Source organism: Homo sapiens, chromosome 3 (assembly GCF_000001405.40).
Source record: "Homo sapiens chromosome 3, GRCh38.p14 Primary Assembly".
Lineage (NCBI taxonomy): Eukaryota > Metazoa > Chordata > Mammalia > Primates > Hominidae > Homo > Homo sapiens.
Genome location: NC_000003.12, coordinates 55,545,460 through 55,567,089, shown reverse-complemented (window position 1 = coordinate 55,567,089; position 21,630 = coordinate 55,545,460). Strand labels below are relative to the sequence as shown.

At 45.8% G+C, this 21,630-nt stretch overlaps 1 protein-coding gene across 19 annotated transcripts in view, besides 1 other annotated feature; it reads left to right on the top strand.

Moving 5' to 3' along the window:
- The window catches only part of ERC2 (ELKS/RAB6-interacting/CAST family member 2), a 960,157-nt gene that overhangs the window by 901,378 nt on the left and 37,149 nt on the right, over positions 1-21,630 (top strand). The window lies entirely within an intron of this gene.
- Positions 11,142-11,643: an enhancer, noted in NCBI's record as "H3K27ac hESC enhancer chr3:55589475-55589976 (GRCh37/hg19 assembly coordinates)". NCBI's record gives its function as "activates a minimal SCP1, AML or CMV promoter by ChIP-STARR-seq in naive H9 embryonic stem cells {active_cell/tissue: H9 hESC(naive)}" and the evidence as "EXISTENCE:reporter gene assay evidence [ECO:0000049][PMID:30033119]".

Below are 21,630 nucleotides of genomic sequence, written 5' to 3'. Positions count from 1 at the left end.
AATATGGTCTTCTCTTATTTCGCTCTGGATTTCCAGCACTTGGAATATGGTCTGATATATATATATATACATTTTGAAAATTAATTATCGGTCAGGCACAGTGGCTTATGCCTGTAATCCCAACACTTTGGGAGGCCAAGGCAGGCAGATCACTTGATGTCAGGAGTTCCAGACTAGCCTGGCCAGCATGGTGAAACCTTGTCTCTACTAAAAATACAAAACAATTAGCTGGGCATGGTGACATACACCTGTAATCCTAACTGCTCAGGAGGCTAAGGTGAGAGGATTGCTTAAACCCAGGAGGCAGAGGTTTCAGTGAGCCAAGATTGCACCACTGCACTCCAGCCTGGGTAATAGAACAACAATCTGTTGCACGGTGGCTCATGCCTGTAATCCCAGCACTTTGGGAGGCTGAGGCGAGTGGATCACTTGAGGTCAGGAATTTAACCTGGCCAACATGGTGAAACCTTGTTTCTACAAAAATACAAAACTTAAACAGGGGTGGTGGCACAGACCTGTAATCTCAGCTACTCAGAAGGCTGAGATAGGAGAATCCCTTAAACCCAGGAGGTGGAGGTAGCAGTGAGTGGAGATTGTACCATTGCACTCCAACCTGTTCAACCTGGGCAACAGAGCGAGACTCCATCATAAATAAATAAATAAATAAATAAATAAATAAATAGAATTACCAGCATAGTAACAGCAAGCATTCATTGAATAATTACTTTGCACCAGGCCTGATACATGCAGGCTATTTGCCTACTTTGTTCCTTGCGCATCAAATAGTACCTGGCACTTAGTACGTGTGTAAAAACATTTTTCATGGTGAATGAATGAATGGATTTAATTCTTCATGTACCTATACAATCGCAGATAGGACATTATGGGTTTGCTCAAAGTCCCACAATTGGTAAGTGGTGAAACCAGGATTTGAACTCACACTGTTAGGACCAAGTAGATGCTCTTGATATACCATAGGAAGTTCAATGAATGGAGTCCATCATAGAGTGAAAGTCAAGCTACTCCATCCAGAGCCAGAATACTCAGTGGCTAAGACATTTCCCCCCAAGCTAAGAGACCACTCTGCCTCCTTGCTGGGTGCAACAATTTCATTTGAGATATAAGGAAGAAGAAATTTGGAATTTGAGAGAAGTGTAGTTTTGGATTTGAAACTTAGCAGCAAAAGACTTTTGACTCGCCCTGCTTTCAGTTGCTATTGAATGTGCCTGTGCAGACAGAGTATTTACATCCATCTCAGGGCAGCCTGCAGTTCAGAGTCTGAAATCAAATGATTATTTCTGAAAGTATTTTATTTTAAAAGCCTTTGAGTGACAAATGATTTAGCAAGTTTTCAACACGATGTTTCATGTGGTTTTGGTTGCCAAAGAGTGACTTACGGCCAAGCCTGGGCACTCTAACCCAAGTGAGCCTACATGGATCTAGGCCATCACATTTTTTTTATGATGTTTAATAAAGTTTAGCACTTTTTTTTTTTCTGAGTGGTTTATGATAGTCCTGATGGTAGCATCTCAGCAGGCTGGGAAGGAGTACCATGCTGATATATTAGAGGGAAATGCAGAGGTGGAACGTGGATTCACTGACCCCTCTAGACAAGTGCACGGCAAAGGGCAGAAAGGGGACACTCTGCCTGTGGCCTGGACCTCTCTCCTCTCTTCCCAGCAGGCTTCCAGTACCCGTCAGCCACTATGTTCTTAACTTAGAGGTGGGTTAAAGCTTTTCTGAATACAGCTATCTGGTTATTATTATGAAATACCTATTTTATTCAATATCCATTTGTTTCTAATATTTATGTTGGATATTTTATATACATCACTTATTCTTTCCTTAAACAACTATTTTAATTAGAATTAAGTTTGGCTTCGCATGACAGAAAATGCTAAAATAATTGTGAAACTTCTTTTTTTCTTATATGATATAAATCTGGTGGGAGGCAGTCCATGTCTGGGTGATGGGTGTTACAATGTCATCAGGGTCCCAGGTTCCTTTAACCTGCTGCTCTCCCATCCTAGAGAAAGGGGTCAGCAAACTATGGCCTGCAGCCCACTGCCTGAGTTTATAAGTGAAGTGTTATTGGAACACAGCCACACTCGTTCGTTTACATATTATGCATGGTTGCTTTCGTATTCCAGCAGCAGAGTTGAGTACTGCCACGGAGAACATATGGCCAGCAAAGCCAGAAATCCTTACTGTCTGACCCTTTATGGAAAACATTTGCTGATCCCTGTCCTAGGACATGGATTCTGCCTTCTGAGTCAAAATGGTTGCTCGCAAGCTCCAGCCTTAGTGGCTGTATTTTGGCCACACGAATGGGGATGGGTCAAAGAGGGAGGGTCTTTCTGTGGACACTTCTTAGAAACTATTTGCAGTCCCTCTGCTTATATTTCATTAGTCAGAATTTAGACAGATGGCTATACAGAGCTGTGACAGAGCCTGGGAAATGTAGTCATTATTCTAATAGCTGTGTGTCCATCTGAAAGTAACAAACTCTATAACTAAGAAGGACGGTGTACTTAGTGGAGTGGACAGCTGGCAGTGTCTCTGTCACAAGAATCCTGCAATGTGAGTATTATTCCCATATTACAGTCAGGGAAGCTCAATCTCAAGCATTTAAACAACTTATGATAAAGCGCACCTCAGTTTCACAACTGGTTAAATTATGGGTGGAAAAAAGCCATTTAGAATTTGGGGACTAGAGGGCATCAGGGAAGCATGAATATTTTGCAATCTCTTTTAAATAATTTTCCACGGTATGAAATACTCTAACTAGACTTCCAAGTTTATATCCTCCAAGCTTTTTCATTTCCTCTAGACTTTGTTCACCTTCCTCTCCAGCAGAATGGTGCCTTCCTAGTTCCAAATAATAACAGATCTCTCCGTCTTCAAAACATCAGGCAGACATCCACCCCATTGCTCAGCAGGGAAATCCTATAGGATGAGATCTGTGTCATCCTGATCTTGGAGTCACCAGATACCGCGCCTTAGAACAGAATAGATGCTTAGCAAACCATTACCAAACTGAACACAAATTAGATTGTGAATTCCTTTGAAGTAAGAACCGTGTCATCCTCCTCCTGTATCCAACTTCTCTTATGGTCTTGATCACGCTGCAAATATTGTGGGTAACTGTATCAGTGAAAATTAGTTCAGTTCCAAGTGGCAGAAGCCCAGCTCAAAACTAAACGAAGCTGAAAAGAATATTTATTGGCTAATGTTACTGAGGAGCCCAGGCAGGAGTGGCTCTGTTGGCAGGCACAGCTGGTTCTCAGATCTCTCTGCCTCTGTCTCTGTCTATCTCTCTATCTTTCCATCTCTCCCACCCCTGTTGCATTCATCTCTCTTCTCTGCTTCTCTCTGCATGTTGGACTCATTCCCTTCTACAGGAAGCTCCCTTTAGATGGCTGGGGGAAAGATAGAAATTTCTCCACGTTCCGTGGCCCTTTCTGCTTTGGATTCTGAAGGGATCCTCTGTCACTGTCTCTGTCTCTCTCTCTCAGTGTTCTCTTATCAGATCTCATGGAAGACTCAAATGGAGCACTTACCCAACCTTGAACCCATCACTGTGACCAGAGGTTGAGTAATCACACTGGCCAAGTCCCAGTTGGGAGCCCATCCTGGGGCTGGGAAGAAGTAAGTTAGTTTCTTCATGCTTGTGACAAAGTGAAGAGTGTCCAGGTACCAAATACGTGAGAGCAATTGATTATTGCAGATATGGTCCTTGAAGTAAAAAAAAAAAAAAAAAAGGAAAGACACTCAGGATGCATACTCACCAATTCTTCAGCAAAATTCTCCCAGAGGAGCAGAATTCTGATGGCCACGCAGAGGGCAACAGTCCACCTTACTTACTGCTAAGAAATGATTATTATTTCTTTTTAAACACCAATGAAGGTTTTAGAAGCTCAGCCTTCCAAACAGCACCTTCATCCTCTTCATATGTGTACAGTCTCTCTGGTATCTGGAGCTGATATTCAGGCCTTTTCCTTGTACATCAGTTGCTGTTTATTTGGGATTCATGTGTTTCTTTGACCTTCTGTGCAAGGTTGATGGATGGGTTTTTAAGCATCTTTAAATGAATTACAATATATGCCAAACTTATATTTTTGTAATATTTCTGCCAAACTGGACTACAGTGGATGGCTTATTTCCACATTCCTTTGGAATGTGCATGTTCATAAAATTTTACACCTGTCAGTTGGCAATTTGCCAACATTCATTTGCTATCATATCATGATCTTTTTTTTTAAACAACAACAAAAAAATTTAAACACAGGTATTAGCATGGACAGAAATGTCTTCCAATAGCATGTCATTTTGAATGTCTTAGAAAGATGGGCTCCATAAAAGACCGTGCAGCTGGAAAGAAATGAAAAAAAAAGAAAAGGGATGGGAGGGCAATTGGGCTGGCTGAGCTTGGTGTTCTTTGGTGTTGCACAAACCCTCAGGCCACCAACCTGGGAGGTTGTTTTCTTTGCAAGCAGAGTATGCAAAACACTTGGACTTTTCTTATATGGCATCCCAGACTCAATTAAACTGTATTTACTTCTTCTATTAGCTAAGATACTTAGTTTCAAGTGACAAATACTCAACTCAAATTAGCTTAATTAAAAAAGAAGGCAGCGGGCCAGGCACAGTGGCTCATGCCTGTAATCCCAGCACTTTGGGAGGCCTAGGGAGTTGGAACACCTGAGATCAGGGGTTTGAGACCAGCCTGGCCAACATGGTGAAACCCCGTCTCTACTAAAAATACAAAAATTAGCTGGGCATGGTGGCGGGCAACTGTAATCCCAGCTACTCGGGAGGCTGAGGCAAGAGAATCGCTTGAACCCAGGAAGGTGGAGGTTGCAGTGAGCAGGGATCACACCATTGCACTCCAGCCTGGGAAACGAGAGCAAAACTCCGTCTCAAAAAAGAAAAAGAAGGCAGCGGGAGAATTTTTCAGCTTAAAGAACTAGAAAATCCAAGGACCTATTGCCTTGAGGTATAGCTCAATCCAGCAGCCCAGGCGATGCTATCAAGATGCTGTATTTTCTTCTTCACTTGGCTTTCCACTCCTTTAGGTGGGATTCATTCTTAAACTGCCTTTCACATTGAGGTGGCAGGATGGCTTCTGTCAACTCCAGGCTAGCATTCTACAATTCCACAAAGAGATAGCCACTTTTATGATGGTTCCAGTGAAAATTCAGGGCAGACTCTCATTGGGCTGGCTTAGGTTCTGTGCCCATTCATGACTTAATAATATGGCATGGCCAAGGGGATGCTGCATTTTAATAGACCAGGTCTGCTCACATGCTCCCACTCAGATGGGTCATGGACTGAGAGTAGACCTTGGATAGTTTCCCAGAGTAAATTGGGGGTGCTATTATTAGAAGGGAGGATGGATACAGGGCAAGAAAAAAAGCGAGTAGCCCACCATGCCTACCTTTCTGAAAAGGGCAGTGGGGAAAATAGATACACAAAAATGCCACATTCATTCCCCATCAAAATTAGGGGCAGAGAATTTAGGGATGAGGATTCTAGAAGGACCTTACAAACTGTGAAGACCAGTGATGTGCAGGCATGGTTTAGCTTTCAGTTTCAAATTAAGTTCTGACAAATGCCCATAAATGCCTTTGAGTGAAATGAAGCTAGAGGACTTGGAGCCCCGTTTGCCAAGTCTTCCCTCTTACCTACCCTCTAACCCACAGAAATGCACCCACAGCCTCTGAGGGGTTTCTGTGGGCTTCCAAAAAGTAGATATGAAAACCTCTGAGCTTGTCCAAAGCCATAATGGACACACGGAAAAAATGAAAAACCAGGGAAGTAAAGAAATTTGCCAAAGGTCATATAGCTTGTCATCTTCCATGGTGATAGAAATCCCAAGATGTCTGATTTCTAGCCCAAAGTTTTTCTTCTTGCTCTTAATTTTTTTTTTTTTTTAAAGAAAAGCAGCAGTAGTTTGGTGAGCTTTCTGCTGTGACTGTGCCGACATCATCTAAAGCTTCTGCCTGAACTGGTGAAGCCATGTTTGCCTTTGGCCATCGATATATTGATGAGCCAGTCTTTCAGGTTTCCCAAGCCATGAAGAGGAGGTGTGGAGGGCCCTCCCCAAAAAGGCCGAGTCTTGTTGGGAGAAGAGGTTCCGTGTACTCACTAAAGGAATATTAGGGGCTTACTGGGCCAATAATCTGCCAAGACAGTGACCTAATATTCTGCCACCACAGTGGGTTTCTGATCATTTAGTTCCCCTTTGATCAGATTTCTAACCTAGGTTGGTAAGATTTTTGGCTAAATGACAGATTTTTCTCATTCTTCGCTGAAATGTATCCAGTTACCTCTTGTTGTATAACAAATGCCCCCAAAACTTGGTGGCTTAAACAACCATTTTCTTACATATCAGAATTTTATGGGTCAGGAATTCCATCAGCACTAAGCTGGGAAGTTTGACTCCATGTGGACACGGAGTGTGGTCCCTCAGTGATACTTAGCTGGTGGCTGTCCTGGGTTGGAGCATCCAAGATGGCTGTAGTCACATGCCAAGGGCCTTGGTGGGGTCAGCTGCAGGCTGGGCACCTCTGGGACCCTCTTCTCCATGTACTCTCAGAGCCTCTCCTGTGGTTTCTCTCTGGGTAGTGCAATTTCTTACATGGCAGCTTAGGGCTCCAGGAGACCAAGGTGCATGGGACAGACCCCTACAACAATTATCAGGCTTAAAATGTCAATAGTACTGCAGTTGAGAAACCTTGCTCCAACCTGACATTCTAAGATCATTTCTTGAGCAAGAAATAGCCTTATACTAGGGGCAAAGTTCAGCAAAATGTGGCCTGTGAGCCAATGTCAGCCCACTGCCTGTTTTTTTAAGTAAAGTTTTATTGGAACACAGCCACACCTGTTCACTGACCTATGGCTGCTCTTGAGACATAGTGGCAGAGCTGAGTAGTCAAGGTCTGCAGGGTTCCTCACCACCATGCTTTCCTCTGGCCCAAGAAGCAAGGGGCTGCTGAGGGTTTTCCTGGAGCTAGGAAGGGCCTGGTACTGCACTACTCCGGAGAAGTACCTTGTCTCTGGGCTAAAGTTCCTTCAGCAGCCCAACCAAGATAACGGCTCCTTGCTCCCACCTTGCTCCAAGGGTAGGGATGGATGAGATAATGTCTGAGCAGCCCCTGTGGGCTCCTTCAAGATAGCATGGCCATCCGTACGCTGTGGGCTAGCGCTCTGTTTCCCCAGAAACTGATGATTCAGCGTGAAATATGGTCTTGCCTGGGGAGAAGCTGAAACAGGCCAAAGCCTGAGGTCAAGCCCTTGCTAGAAAGGAAGGATTAAAAAGAAATTAATCTCTCTTGTTCTCTCTTTGTTCACATCTCCAGTGGAGAGAGGCCAAAGGCAAGGAGGACATTGATGGATAGACTGAGGGTGTTGTCCTCTGAGGCCGCTCCATGGGGAGTTTTGCAGGGATCTAGGTTGCACCCCTGACAGTCTAGCCCAGCACAGTGCCCAGGCCCCATCCATTGGGGACTTCCAGTCTTACTTCATGGGCCAGGTCTCTTGGGGACACATGTGTTGTCTGATGTCACTAATTTGATTTGTAGCATGGTGGAAACCAACAACTTAGTTGCTAAACAGATAGCTATTGAGACCTAAAATGAGGTAGAGAGGTAGGAACCCTGAGGTTGTGAGTTCTGGATTTTACAGGCACCTGGAGCTATGGCTTCAGTCCTGCCCTAGGAGGGCATGGGCCTTAAGTGCATGCACACACTACTCTTCACCACTTTGGGTGCTTTCTTCTCAGAGCTACACTCCACAGATGCTTCCTGAAATCAGAACCTCTGAGTTGGAGAACCATTGCTTTCTTGGAAGGAGAAAAATGTGGAAAAACTTTCAGAAGGCTCAGGAGTCAGGAAGAAAGGCATCTCTGTGGTCCAGGCCCATAGGGAGATGCTGGACTGGTTTAAGGGAGCATGAAAAAGGGAAAACTGGTTAAAAGGCCATGCCCTGCTCCAGGGAAAACCAATACCCAGTTGGAGCCACATGCCTTGGTAAATCCCAAGGTGAGGGCTCCAGCATCTGGGTCTCCTGCTCTCTCAGCCTGCCCAACTGTGTCTCCAGACCTTGCTGTGGGACTAACATGTTTTGCAAAGGGAAATACTAATGCCTCCCTGCAAACTGTACCCACTTTTGGTCATCTGCATCTGAGCCCTTCTTCCTGGAGGATCACAGAATAATGATGGATCAAAAGTTTGACATGGAAACCACTGTTTACCCCTAGATCTATAACATAGTCTGTACTTGGGAGATCTAGCTTGGATCTCAGAGGAGAATTTGGCCCATTATGAGGCGCATATTAAAAACATACCCCAAAGATGTAAACTCTCAGAAAACAGCATTGCAGCAAAGCATAATATTATTTAAAATCTGGGCCAAAGGCCACACTCACAGAAACCTCTCTGTAACTGTTAGGGATACTAGAAAAGGAATTATAGTCATTTGATGCACATCAGACAAACTTCTGTTAACTTCAGAGCATTGCATCTGGTTGGCTGGCCACATTTACTCCAGCCTCATGTCCACTTTTCAGGAAATGAATTGCTAAAGAGGAATTCAGTGGCTGGAGCATCTTTTGGAACTTGTTTTATTCATCTTTGAAACCACAGATGTTTGCAACTTTTGAGGTCTTGCTCCTTGGTTATTTGGAGTGACGTTTTGAGGTCAGGGTTTCTGCAAATATAAGAATATTTGGGACCTTATTTTCCCCACTCTGGGTTCTTTTATTCATACCTGCATTTCTGAAATATTTTTAAGCCATCTATTACGTGCCAGGCAGGATACTAAGTGCTAGAGGTGGGCAAAACCAGACATTGTTCTACCTATTAATAGTAGGGCATTTAGTCAATTGGCAAAGACAGACGTTAATCAAAGGATCACATGAATGCATTAACTTGCAACTGTGACTAGGCAGAGAGGCAGGACAAGTTGCTCTGAAATCATATGATGGTAGCTCATGTTCATTCAGTGTTATCTGCCAACACTATTGCCATTATCAAGCCTCTCCGTTAATTAGCCAATATTACAGATCAGAAAACAGAGGCACAGAAAGGTCATAAAACTAGTAAGCACTGGAGCCAGAATTTCAACGCAGGCATTCTGACTCTGGAACCCTTGTCTTTAACTCCTGTACTGGGAGGCCTTGAGCCCTGGAGGGCCACGAGCAAAGGCTTCTATGATGAAGTGGCAATTGAGTTGTGATCTAAGAGATAAGTTGGAGTTGCTTAGGTAAAAGGGTGGTGTTCCAGACAGAGAGAACAGCATGTGCAAAGGTCCTGTGGCTGGAAGCCATAGGGAATGCAGAAAGCAGAGGGGGCCATGGAGTGAGAAGAGGTTGGCAGGGATCAGACCATGTAAGGTTTTGACTGGAGTGCTCCTCCCAGTCTTTTCCCAAATGGATTTTTGCCCATGTGGCATGGGTTTATGCTGGAAGCAGACTTTGGAGAGTGCCAACTGAGCTGTTTAACTTTGAGTGGCAGTAGATCTCACATGGCAACTACTTAATATATAAAGGATTCCCCCAAGGGGTGGCCAGGAGAAGCAAAAGCTAGAATCCTTTGCAGGCTGATATCTGTTGTAGAAAACCCTTCCCTCAGCAACCCAAGATGACAGAACTTCAGCCAGAATATGGCTGCAGTATAGAGACAAAGACATTTGAGGTTCCCTGAGAGGAAGGGAGGGCCCTGGCCAGGACCCTGCAGAATTCCTGATGTCTGCCCTTTGTTTCCCCTGGTGCTTGTCTGTCAACACGATGTCTGCCATTCTAGAACATGTCTCTCTCACCTTTGCTCACACTGTCCCCTCCACTGGGGGGGCCATCTGCCACTTTCCACCCCAAATTCTGCTTGTCAAATTCCAGCCCTCTTCAAAGCAGTGCTACGAGCCATCTCCATGAATCCTTTTCCTGGCCTAAAGCCAGAAGAAGGCTCTCACTCCTTGTGTGTCAGCAGAACTTTTTATTCCCTGCTCACAGCATTTGTCATATTTTTTCTTTATATTACAGTCACTCAAACTCATGTCTCATCTCTCCTAAAAGATTGTAAACTCTGGGTCTATGTGTGTGTCTGGTATCCCATAGTGAACAGAGTGCAGTGCCAGGCATGTAGTAGACTTGCAGTAAATAATTGTTTGATCTTACTCATAGCCTTTGCCTCTTCTCTATCCCCTATTCAGCTCTTCCCTTTTTCAACTCTTTCATTTGCAAGCAAAAAGAAAAACCAGCTCAAAATCACTTAAGCAAATGAGAAGATTTATTGGCTTGTGGAATTAGAAGATTGAGACCCGCCTTCATGCATGGTGGGTCCCAGGGGCTCAGATGATGTGGTCAGGAGCTATTTGTCTCCACCCTGAGTCTCTCCTGTCCTGCGTGTGTTGGTTACCTCCTCAGGCTCTGTTGGTAGCAAATGGCTGCCAGCCATCATCCTTCCAGATTCAGATCCACAAGCAAAGAGCAGGTGCCTTTCCTGCAGTAGTTCAGCAAAATTCTCAGCTCCTCTCACTGGATTTGATTGAATCACTGCAGGCCAGAGAATGTGATGCTGTGATTGGCCAAGTTGAGTCATATGCTCTATGTCTGGAGCTTATGGGGGTGGTGGGAGCTTCTGGACAGAAAGTGGAGGAGGTGGGAACTTGGTCTGTCTTCCTGGAAGTAAGGTGAATGGGGGCTGTGGAGCAAAACCCCGTGCCTAGCAGGCAGTAACGTGACTCCATGTGGGGCACTGAGAGGCTGTAGCTCTTTGCTTTTGAAAGGCTGCTGTTGACATTGTTAGAGTGGAAATATCCATGCAGTGAGAGAAAGGGTACTCAGGCCTAGATTTTAGGTCCTAACCCTCCTCCCCAAAGACTAGCAAAGGAAATCCCCTGATTTTTAAAGCTGGATGAAGAGTTAGGAAATGCAGTCACGTGAGTCCTGGAGGCTTTTTCCCTGCTGTGTCCTTCTCAGCCAAATTGAAATGTTTGTTTCCAAGGGAGGGCTTCCATCCTCTGATTAAGGAGGCAGAGCTTCCTCCTGCCCCGGGAGTTTCCACAGCCCAGTGTACTTTTCATTGTGATGGTCTCTGGGTGCTGTGAGCTCAGTCGTGGGGCTTGGGGGATAGGCATTTAAGGTTCCTCAAGTCCCTGGGTACAGTCACTTTGGAATTATTGAATGGGCTGCTCTTTCCTGCTGAAATCTTTCCTCGGTGACCCGTTTTCTGAGCGAGCAGCGCGGATTTCAGCAACTCCACAGGTAGAGAGGGCACTGGAAAAGCTACCTGGAGACACTCTAGAGCTGAGCACAGGTTGCTGATTAATCTGCTTCTCTGCCTGGCCCGTCAGCTTCATGAAGGCAGGGGCCTTGCAGGTTCACTTGCCGTCACACTAAAGGCTTCATCTCACTTAACTGTGGCAATGATTCTTGAAGAACCCAAGACAGAAAGTTTAACTATTTTGCCCACATCACCCCAGTGGTAAGAGGTTGATCCAACCAAGTTGTGTGACTCTACAACTTCTGCTTTTAACCATTTTGCTGGGCAGCCTAATTTATTTCTGAGACGTCTGTGACCCTCCCCCTAACATTGCAAGCGGCCCTGGTACCCATTTCTCTTTCTGGAAGACGCTCCAAGCATTTGCTCTGGTGTCATTTGAGAGTTGGCCATGATGAGGAGATGCTGTTTCCTCACCCAGGTCTTGCTCAGGACTCAGCTTCACTTGCAGGCCTGTTGCCTTTCTCAATTTAAAGCTCAGATGTGCTCAAGCTGGGGCCGATAGGGTTTCTCCACCGGTCAAGACAACGAAAATGCATTTCTGGCATGGTTTGAATTAAACGAGAATTTCCCGTTTTTCATAAACATTTACAGTAGTTGTGGATGCAGAGTTGAAAGGTTTAGGGTTTTGGTGTTTAATTAGAAACAAATGCCCTTTATGGTCCTTTTAGCAAGGGCGGCATGTCTCAAATTATTAGGATTATTCATCTTATTTGTGCCTGCATTTTGATTTTGTTTCCACTGCTCTCGGTGCTGACTTCCCCAAGGTGGCTGGGCGTGGTGGTGGGAAATGGGATCCTCAGAATCGCTGGTGAAGTTTCTGTCTGAGAGCCAGGGCTCTGGGCTGGCTTTGGGCCCCACCTCACAGGCAGCCCAAGGCCCCCTCCTTCCTTTCCAGAGGCTGGGGTAAGCTGAAAGCTTAGCGGGCAGAGCAGCTGCATCCTCTCTTGGGGCCTGGGAAGAGAGATATTTGCCAGCCTTGAGAACCCAGGTGCTCTGAGATGAGGCTGACAGTGCCCCTAGGCTGAGCCCTAACTCTTGGTTTAAAACAAGGGCAGCTTGCAGCACGGGGAAGGGGGGAGGGGGGAAGGGACACATGCATGGGAACCCAGCCCCCTGGGAAGCAGCAGAGAGGACTCTGAACCATGCAGTTTGCAAATGTCTTTGTTTTGTCATTAAGGAAGGTTTTGAAGCTGTTTCTGAAGAAGAGGAAAAGGCCATTCACAGCAGCCTGAGACCATCCACACCCCAGGAGAGGGTATCATCCATTTGGTGTCTCCTAAAAACAGGCCTGTGTCTCTTGTCAGAGTTCCTAGGAGTCCGGCTTCAGCCTGGCTACTCACTCCTTCAGGTCCCGTCTGCACCTCTGTCTTGAAAGCAACAGACAAAATGGAAGGACGGAAAATGCCTGAAAGGCCTTTCTACTTGTTAAGGATGTCATCAGCTCCCATAAAGCAGTATCTTTGAATATTTGGTGACAAAGAGGCCATCTTTGGTCTCAAAGAGGTTTTTTCATAAACAAAGAAGTTTATGAAAAAGCCTTTTAAAGCCATTTCAGTCTATGAGTCTCACTTTACAGATGGAACAACTGGGGCCCAGGAAAGGGAAAGCGCTTGCCTTCATGGATGGTAAGATAGTCCAGGTCGTCTACACCCTAGAACACCGCATTCTACCTCAGTATATGCAAAGAATTATGCAAAGATGTGTATTATTTCCTCTCAGATGTATTTAGATACTTCATAAAAGACATTGTTTTCCCTAGTTAAGCCTAGGCAGGATTACATTATTTCCTCCATGAAACAGTTCTAAAGGCACTATTCCATAATTCACTATGGAAAATTTGGAAATTTTAATAAAATTTGAAGAAGAAACTAAAAGTCACTCATATTCCCACGTCCTAAAGTTAGTTCTATGACTATTAACATAGTCATTGTTTCCAATTGGCTTTTCTTACTTAGAAAATTAGACTTGAATGATGCCGATGCTTGGCTGTGAGGCTTAAGCCTCAGTGCTGCCATTTCTTTTTTTTTTGAGACGGAGTCTCACTCTGTCACCCAGGCTGGAGAGCAGTGGCGCGATCTTGACTCACGGCAAGCTCCACCTCCCGGGTTCACGCCATTCTCCTGCCTCAGCCTCCCCAGTAGCTGGGACTACCGGTGCCCGCCACTACGCCCAGCTAATTTTTTGTATTTTTAGTAGAGACAGGGTTTCACCATGTTAGCCAGGATGGTCTCGATCTCCTGACCTCATGATCTGCCCGCCTCGGCCTCCCAAAGTGCTGGGATTACAGGGGTGAGCCACCGTGCCCAGCCAGTGCTACCATTTCTTAACCATGAACTGGGGCCAGTTCCTTAACCCCACAATACCTCCATATTCTCATGGGGCTCTTGTGAAGATTAAATAAAATTCTTAATGTGGGGTGTTCAGCATAGTGCCAGTGCATTTTAATAACTTGCTATTGTTATCATCATAAGAAAAATAGAAAAATCTGGACCTGACGTGGTGGCTGATGTCTGTAATCCCAGCACTTTGGGAGGCTGAGGCAGGTGGATCACAAGGTCAGAAGTTCAAGACCAGCATGGCCAATATGATGAAACCCCGTCTCTACTAAAAATACAAAAATTAGCTGGGCATGGTGGTGTGTGCCTGTAGTCCAAGCTACTCAGGAGGCTGAGGCAGGAGCATCACTTGAACCTGGGAGGTGGAGGCTGCAGTGAGCCGAGATTGCACCACTGCACTCCAGCCTGGGTGACAGAATGAGACTCCATCTCAAAAAAAAAAAAAAAAAAAAAAAAAAAATCTGGAAGCCCCACAATAATAACGACACAGAAATTATTAAGTTAGAAGACCCAAACAAAATGAGAGTAAGGTAGAAGAATGATGACCAATTACTCAACAACTCAAGAAAAGAACTAATTCAGTCGGTTGGTTTTTAACCCTATTTCCTTAAATCCACTGGGACAATTTTAAAAAATATATGTATATATTTTTAAGGAAGAGATTATTAGAAAGCAACAGAAAATGAGTCCCTATATCTTCTCCCTAGAGGAGAACTCCATTTAAATGTTCTTAAACCAGCAGAAATTATATGAATGCTAATGTGAAATTGTAAGATATAAATGCTAACAGGGCATTTTCAGGGGTTCCTTTCTTTTCTCCTTTTTTTTTTTTCCTTTTTTCCAAATTCTCTGGTTGGGGTTAGTTACACCCGGCTGTTTTAATAGAACAAAGTCATATAATGAACTTTTTCACATAAAGTGCATTTTTTCCATGATTCACTCACTGTACCTTGTTTACGCAGCTTGTAAACATGGTAGATTAAATAGGTTTCTTTCTCTGGTGTGCAAAAGTCCAGACGCCTCAAAGCCAGGGAGGAAGAATGAGGGGGAGGAAGAAGGGAAAAGAGAAGGAGGAGAAAGCAATAAATGGATGGGGAGCAGGCGGGTGCAACATGAAAATGAAAACAATGTATGGCCATGGAAAAACAGAGAGCGCTTTGCTGGAGTGGAACGTGCAAGTCTTTTTCCCTGCCCCCAACCCCACCCCTGGCCAAGGTCAAGTTATAAACAGACGTGGCTGGGGCATAGAGGAAACTTCTTTCTAAGACTGTGGAAATTGTCTCACAAATCAGACCTCACCTTTTGGGCATGCCGATTGGGCCTACACATCAGGAAGCCTCCTCTCTGCACTCTGAGAGGCCAGGTTTCTCACAGTTGAGGACCGAGCTAGCTCTTAGAGGTGCGGGGTTCTATGGGCATGCCTTGCAGTTGGATAGCTTGACTTATAAAGTAGGTTGGGATAGAAGGATATAGGGCCTGGGGTATGTTTCAAAACACTTCACCAACAGAAAAAAAGAAAAGAAGGGGGCCAGCTGGAGCAAATGTAGCAATTTCATTGATAATGGCTGAATCTGAGTGATGGGTATACAGAAGTTGTGATGTTTAATTTTATGTGTCAACTTGACTGGGCTACAGTGCCCAGATAGTTGGTCAAACGTTATTCTGGATGTTTCTGTGAGGATATTTTTTTGGACGAGTTTAGCATTTAAATCGGAGGACTTTGAGTAAAGCTGATTACCCTCCAGAATGTGCTGGGCTTCATCCAATCAGTTGAGGCCTTCATTGAACAGAGACTAGGGAGGAACCCTGCCAGTGGACTGCCTTTGAATTTAAATGTTTCCCTGGGTCTTCAGCCTGCCAGCCTACCCCATCAGATTTTGGATTTACCTCTAAACACGTGAGCCAATTTCTTTTTGTTTTTGTTTTTGTTTTTTGTTTTTTGTTTTTTTGAGACGGAATCGCACTCTGTCTCCAAGGCTGGAGTGCAGTGGCACCGTGAAAACTCACTGCAACCTCCATCTTCTGGGTTCAACCAATTCTCCTGGCTTAGCCTCCCGAGTAGCTGGGATTACAGGCACCCACAACCACGCCTGGCTAGTTTTTGTATTTTCAGTAGAGACGCGGTTTCACCATGTTGACCAGGCTGGTCTCGAACTCCTGACCTCAGGTGATCCACCCGCCTCTGCCTCCCAAAGTGCTGGGATTACAGGCATGAGCCACCGTGCCCAGCAGCCAATTTCCTGAGATAAATCTCTCTCCCTCCATAATATATATATGTGTGTGTATGTATGTGTGTATATATTCATGTGTATATATATGTGTGTATATATGTATGTGTGTGTATATCTATACACATATACACACACACACATACTGTTGGTTCTGTTTCTCTGGAAAACCATGGCTAACACAGAGGCTTATCATGTTATTTCTTTCTTTCTTTTTTTTTTTTTTTTGAGACGGAGTCTTGCTTTGTCACCCAGGCTGGAGTGCAGTGGCGCGATCTCAGCTCACTACAAGATCTGCCTCCCAGGTTCACGCCATTCTTCTGCCTCAGCCTCCCGAGTAGCTGGGACTACAGGCACCCACCACCACGCCCGGCTAATTTTTTGTATTTTTAGTAGAGATGGGGTTTCACCGTGTTAGCCAGGATGGTCTCGATCTCCTGACCTCGTGATCTGCCCGCCTTGGCCTCCCAAAGTGCTGGGATTATAGGCGTGAGCCACTGCGCCCGGCCCCTATTTCTTAAATTATATCTGTTTGAAAATTTGGAAATCGGGCAGACCTGTAGTCAAATCTTCCCCCATCTCTTACTAGCTGTGTGACCTTGGACAAGCCACTGACCATCTCAGACTCTCAGTCTTCTCCCCATCCCCTGCAACAAGGAACAATTCATAACATCCATTGTTATGAATCCATATTATGAATAACAATTCATAATATCTCATTGGGTGTGGAGAGAATTACATGAGGTAGATGTTACCTAATTCACATATTTATTTATGCATTGGTTCAACAAATAGTTACTGCACATCATCCCTGGTGCTGGAGTTGTGACATTGAATACAAAGGGCTGATTGCCCTGCCCTCAAGCAGCTTACATTTCAGTGAAAGAGATGGAACTAAGTGAGATAATCACACACCCAAACATACAAGCACAAATGGGAATAAGGGCTTTGAAGGAAAGGACCATGATTTTATGAGAGATGAATATGACCAAGAATGGAGGCTTCAGGGAGGGCTTCCTGGAGGCAGTGACACTTGAGCTGAGGGGAAACAGGTGGTGCAAAGGCCTTAAAGAGGGAGGGAATGAGGCAAGTATTACTGCAAGAAGGTTCAGCAGAGAGGGAGGGAGCATGAGCCCAGGGAAGGTTGCAAAGGGCAAAGGTGCACAGGACCAGGCTAGACCAGGTGGGAAGTCCTGTCAAAGAGTATGGTCCAGACAATGTGCAGTAAGAAGCCACAGAAAAGTGTCCTATTAACATAGTATTTCCCCTCTCTCTCTCTCTCTGTCTCTCTCTCTCTCTCTCTCTCTCTCTCTTGTGTGTGTCGGGGAGGGGGGTTGGGGGCAGAGAGAGAGAGAGAAAGGAGGTGGTGGTGACCAGAAGCAGCTGCTGTTGCTGTTTTTACCATCCTCACTACCAAAACCATGTACTAGGATGCTTCAGCTGCTGCAAAGCTCGCTGAGGACAGGGCCCTGTGCATTAAGCCTATATTTAGAAAGTTCATCTTTTGAAAGCAGGCAACCACCCAGAGAGGACTGCCAGCAGACAGCAGTCTAGGCCACAGGGCTTCCATCTTGTGCCATGTACTTTCTCTGGCACCTTGACCCAATCATTCTTAGCTCTGAGCCTCCGTTTCCTCATCTGGAATAGAATAATACCTGATATAACAGCCTTGCAGAGCAGCTGTGAGTTTATTGATATCAGAGCCCATGAATGTGGAAAGGCTTTGAAAACGTACAAAAGCACAGGAAAAAAAAAAAAAAAAAAAAGGTAAGGCGGCATTTGCTCCGCATCTGGTTTCCATATTGTCTCAGGCATTTTGTGTTCGGAGAGCTGCCTGGGAGACAGCTGCTTAAGTTCCAGGTTTAGGCCTCAGGGTCCCCAGTGGTGAAGAGAAGAATTTCTGGATAATAAGAATAACCAGGACATGGTATTCTACCCTTCATAGAGGCCTTTTTTTTTGCAGGAGGGACCTCATTTCGTCCTCACAGGCTACTGGTGGAACCATAGGACAGGTATTGCAAACACCATTTCATAGAAAGATCAGATGCTCGAGGTGATAGGTTCTTTGAGTCAGTGGTGAATCCAGGACTCTAACTCCTGTCTTATGCAGCCAAATTCAGTTCTCTGTTTAATACACACTCTTTTTCTGTAATAAATAAGTATGGATTATGGGGTTTTAAAACCGGAGTTACTTTAGAGATCAACAGATGCATTTTGTTTGACCTGCATAGCACGGTGTCTTACACATCTGATTTTGTTGCCAAGATGTAGGAATTTGGTAGTTCACATAAAACTCTAGGTTTGGGGTTTCTCTTTTGAGAAATGAAGGATCTGGCTGCTGGAGATCTCCATTTCTGAAAAACAACATTGGCTGGAGGGAGAGGTGGTGGCTGTCTCTTTAGTTGACCCAGGAACTCTCCCAGTTTGCCTGCCACCATGCCTTCTACTCCTAAGAAGCCTGCCTGGTACCCATGTGAACAGTGCACATTTGGGACCCCTCATCTAAGCCACCCACGTTATTAAAGTAGAAAAACTGAGTTCCAGAGAAGCCAAGTGGCCCATCGAAGGACACCCAGCTTTTGATTGTCAGAACTGGGGTAGACAGAGAATTTGGATGCCTTCTCTCCAGCCCCGCCCTTGGCCATGCTTAGCTCCTTGCTGACACACGTATGTCTGTGTGGCTGGGGTTTTTCCCTGCCCTTGTTTTCTAGCCCAGAAGATAGGGACTTAAGTGAGAGCAAGTGTGGCACATGGGGCAATGAATGGGCAAATTAAGAGTAACTGTGTAGACACATTTAGAGGGGAAAAGGCCATGTCTCATTTGCAAAAAACCCAGATCAAGCCACACTATTTACATCTCCTGTAACAACTGACCAAATAGTCAATTAGTAGAGTAATTCCAAAATGATTTATTTAAATTTAATCTGAAAGGAGAAAAATTAATGTATCGTTGGGAGACGAGCACTAGGTCCTTTTCAAACAACTGCTATGGAGGGCATTGCCCATGTGGCATGTTTTGGGAGGACTAGATCTCACCCACAGGCATTCACATCAGCTGGTAACCCCTGGAATGTAGGGGCCACAGGTCACTTCAGCCTGGCATTCAACAAGTGCATCTAAAATCCTTGTGATTTTTATTTGGAGGAGACCTCCTGCTGTCTGTGAAACTGGCCACCAGCTGCTTCCCCAGCCCCTATTGTGGACCAGCCAGATCCTCATCAGGCATCTTCAACTCCGGGCTAGACCTGACAGCCTGAAGAAGGCCCCCTGGCCCTGTCTCATGGGGGTCCTCTGGAGCAGAAGGAGGTCTGGATGGGGACCCAGGAAAACTGCTTGTCTCCCCAGCTCTACCCCAACTAGTCCAGCTCTGCTGTGTGACCTTACGTCTGCTGCTTCCCTTCTTTGGACCACAAGTGTTTGTTGAGGGTCTTATAAAACGCTTTTAGTAGCAAAATTCTTTCATTTGACAATTCCTTCAGAGAGGATGAGGAACCCAAGCTTCATTCCCTATATTTGCAGCACTGAGGGTTCCTAAGCCCCCACCTCTCCTCCTCCCTAATAGAAACTGCACTAGCTTTTTATTTCTCCCCTGGTCTCTGAGACTTCCTGGGGACTGAGCAAAGCTCTCCTACGGCTGGGGGTTTTGTGTGCTACCCCACGGAGGAAGCGTTCATCTTCATTATTCTAAAGAGGAGCTGCCGGAGCAACAATGAGACATTTTATGAGAAAGAAGACCTTAAACTGGTTTTCATTAAATGTGGCTTGATGGAGGCGCACCGGAAACGTCCACTGGAGCAATGGCAGCCTTTCAAAGCCCCCCTGCAGAAACGATAAGCTATAAAAACAAATGGCCCAGCAACAGAACAAAAAACAAGGCTCCAGGAACATTTGCTGGGCTGCAAACATGGCCCGCTGGGCCCTACCCTGCCTCCCAGAGGCTGAACTATCCAGACCTGGCCGATGTAGAGGATGAAAGGAGCCAGGGGTGCTTCCTCACCCCGGGAGATTCAGTGGTGGTGGGCCCGGCTGGGGCAAGTCGAGGACAGCCCTGGGCATCAGCAGAGTGCCAAGACAGCAGCTCACAGGTGCCGTGTGCCAGGCACTGTAAGAAGCCCTTTACACGCATCCCCTGCTGTCTTTGCTAACGCCCCTACAGAGATACGCTATTACCATTCTCGTTTTGCAGCCAGCAAACGAAAGAAAGGGAGGCTCAGAGATGTTGAGAAGTTGTCTCAAAGTCCCAGGGCTGAGTGGGAAAAATGGGACTTAAACTCTGTTCCAGAGAAAGTGCCCCAAACCACCTGCGACTCCGCCTCCTATGAGGAAATGGTTATGGACTTGAACTGAGCTTCAGACCTCAGGAGAGAGAGCCTCGGCAATAAATCATTGAGCCCAAACTCCTCGTTTCCCACATAAGTTGTAAGTGGCTGGGTTAGGGGTGGGGAGGAGACAGCTCTCTGGTACCGGAGAGGCCTGCGCTTGCACACATCTTCCTTCCTCACTCCTTACTGGCTGGCTGTGCATAGACAGTTCCCTACCCTCACCGAACCTCAGTTTTCTCATTCATGAAATGGGAGGAGCCTCAACACCTCGTTTTGATTGGTGTCACTGTGATGGTGAAATAGGATTCATTCAACACACATTATTGAACAGCTTCTAGTGCCTGGCACTGTGCTTGGCCTTGGAGATGTAGCAGTGAACAAAACAGACCAAAATCCCTGCCCTTACAGAACCTGGATTCTAATGTGGAGATGGACAGTGAATATGATAAACAAGGAAATGAGGCTGCATGTCAGAAAATGATGTCAGTCACTTGAAGAAAAATGAATCCCAGAGAAGGGGTGGGGGTGCAGCATGGAACAGGGTTAATAGGGTGCTCAAGGAGGGTCTCACTGGGAAATGATTTAAACAAAGTCTTGCCAGGGCTGAGGGGACAGTGCTCCCGGAGGAGGGCATAGGGAAGGCAAAGGCCTGGAGGTAGGAGCCAGCCTAGTCTGTGAAGGACCAGCAGGGAGGCCGGACAGAATGAAGAGGCCCAGGAAGTGCCGAGCAGAGCCTCTGCCTCCTGGGTAGCTGCTGTCGCCGTTATTCTTCTTTTCATTGTATTAACCACAGAGCCAGATGTCTGGACCCTCCTCCCCAGTCTGAAGCTTTTCCTAGCTTATCCCATACTGCATAGGTCAGGATGATGCTCTCTGGCTCCTGACCACTGGGTCCTCACTTTCTGCTCTCCTTTCCGTCCATGTATTCTCTTCTCACAGCATTACTGAGTAACCCTGTATGCGCTCAGGGACCCTAAGGAAGGCACCAAAAACAGGGTAACGGGACCCAAGACCTCCAAATGGGATTCTCTAGTTCCCCCGCCCCTTGGGTTCCTTTAGCAGCAGAGGCTGCCGGCTGTCCAGCCCAGCCATGCTCTGAACCACACCCAAGAACTCACAACCCTGGCAGGAGGACCCGGCCCAGTGGGTACCCCCTGGCACAGCAACTATGAGCACAGCTGGCCATCCTCTCTTTGCCTCTTTTAAGTCTCCTCCTGTCCTGTTCTTTGCAGTGTTGGTGTACTCTGTCTGCTCCATATGACACACACAGAAACTCCTGACTGGAGGGCAGAGGTTTTCTGTGAGTGCTTCTTGGAGTGTCTCCAATGGAAGCAGATTACCCCTAAGAGTCCCACTGAAAGGATAAATTGTTCCTCAGTTACTGAGATGTTCAACTCTTCCCCATTTACAATGCCTGGCACTCCTGTGACCCATCCATTCTACCTGATCCCATGCATTCCCA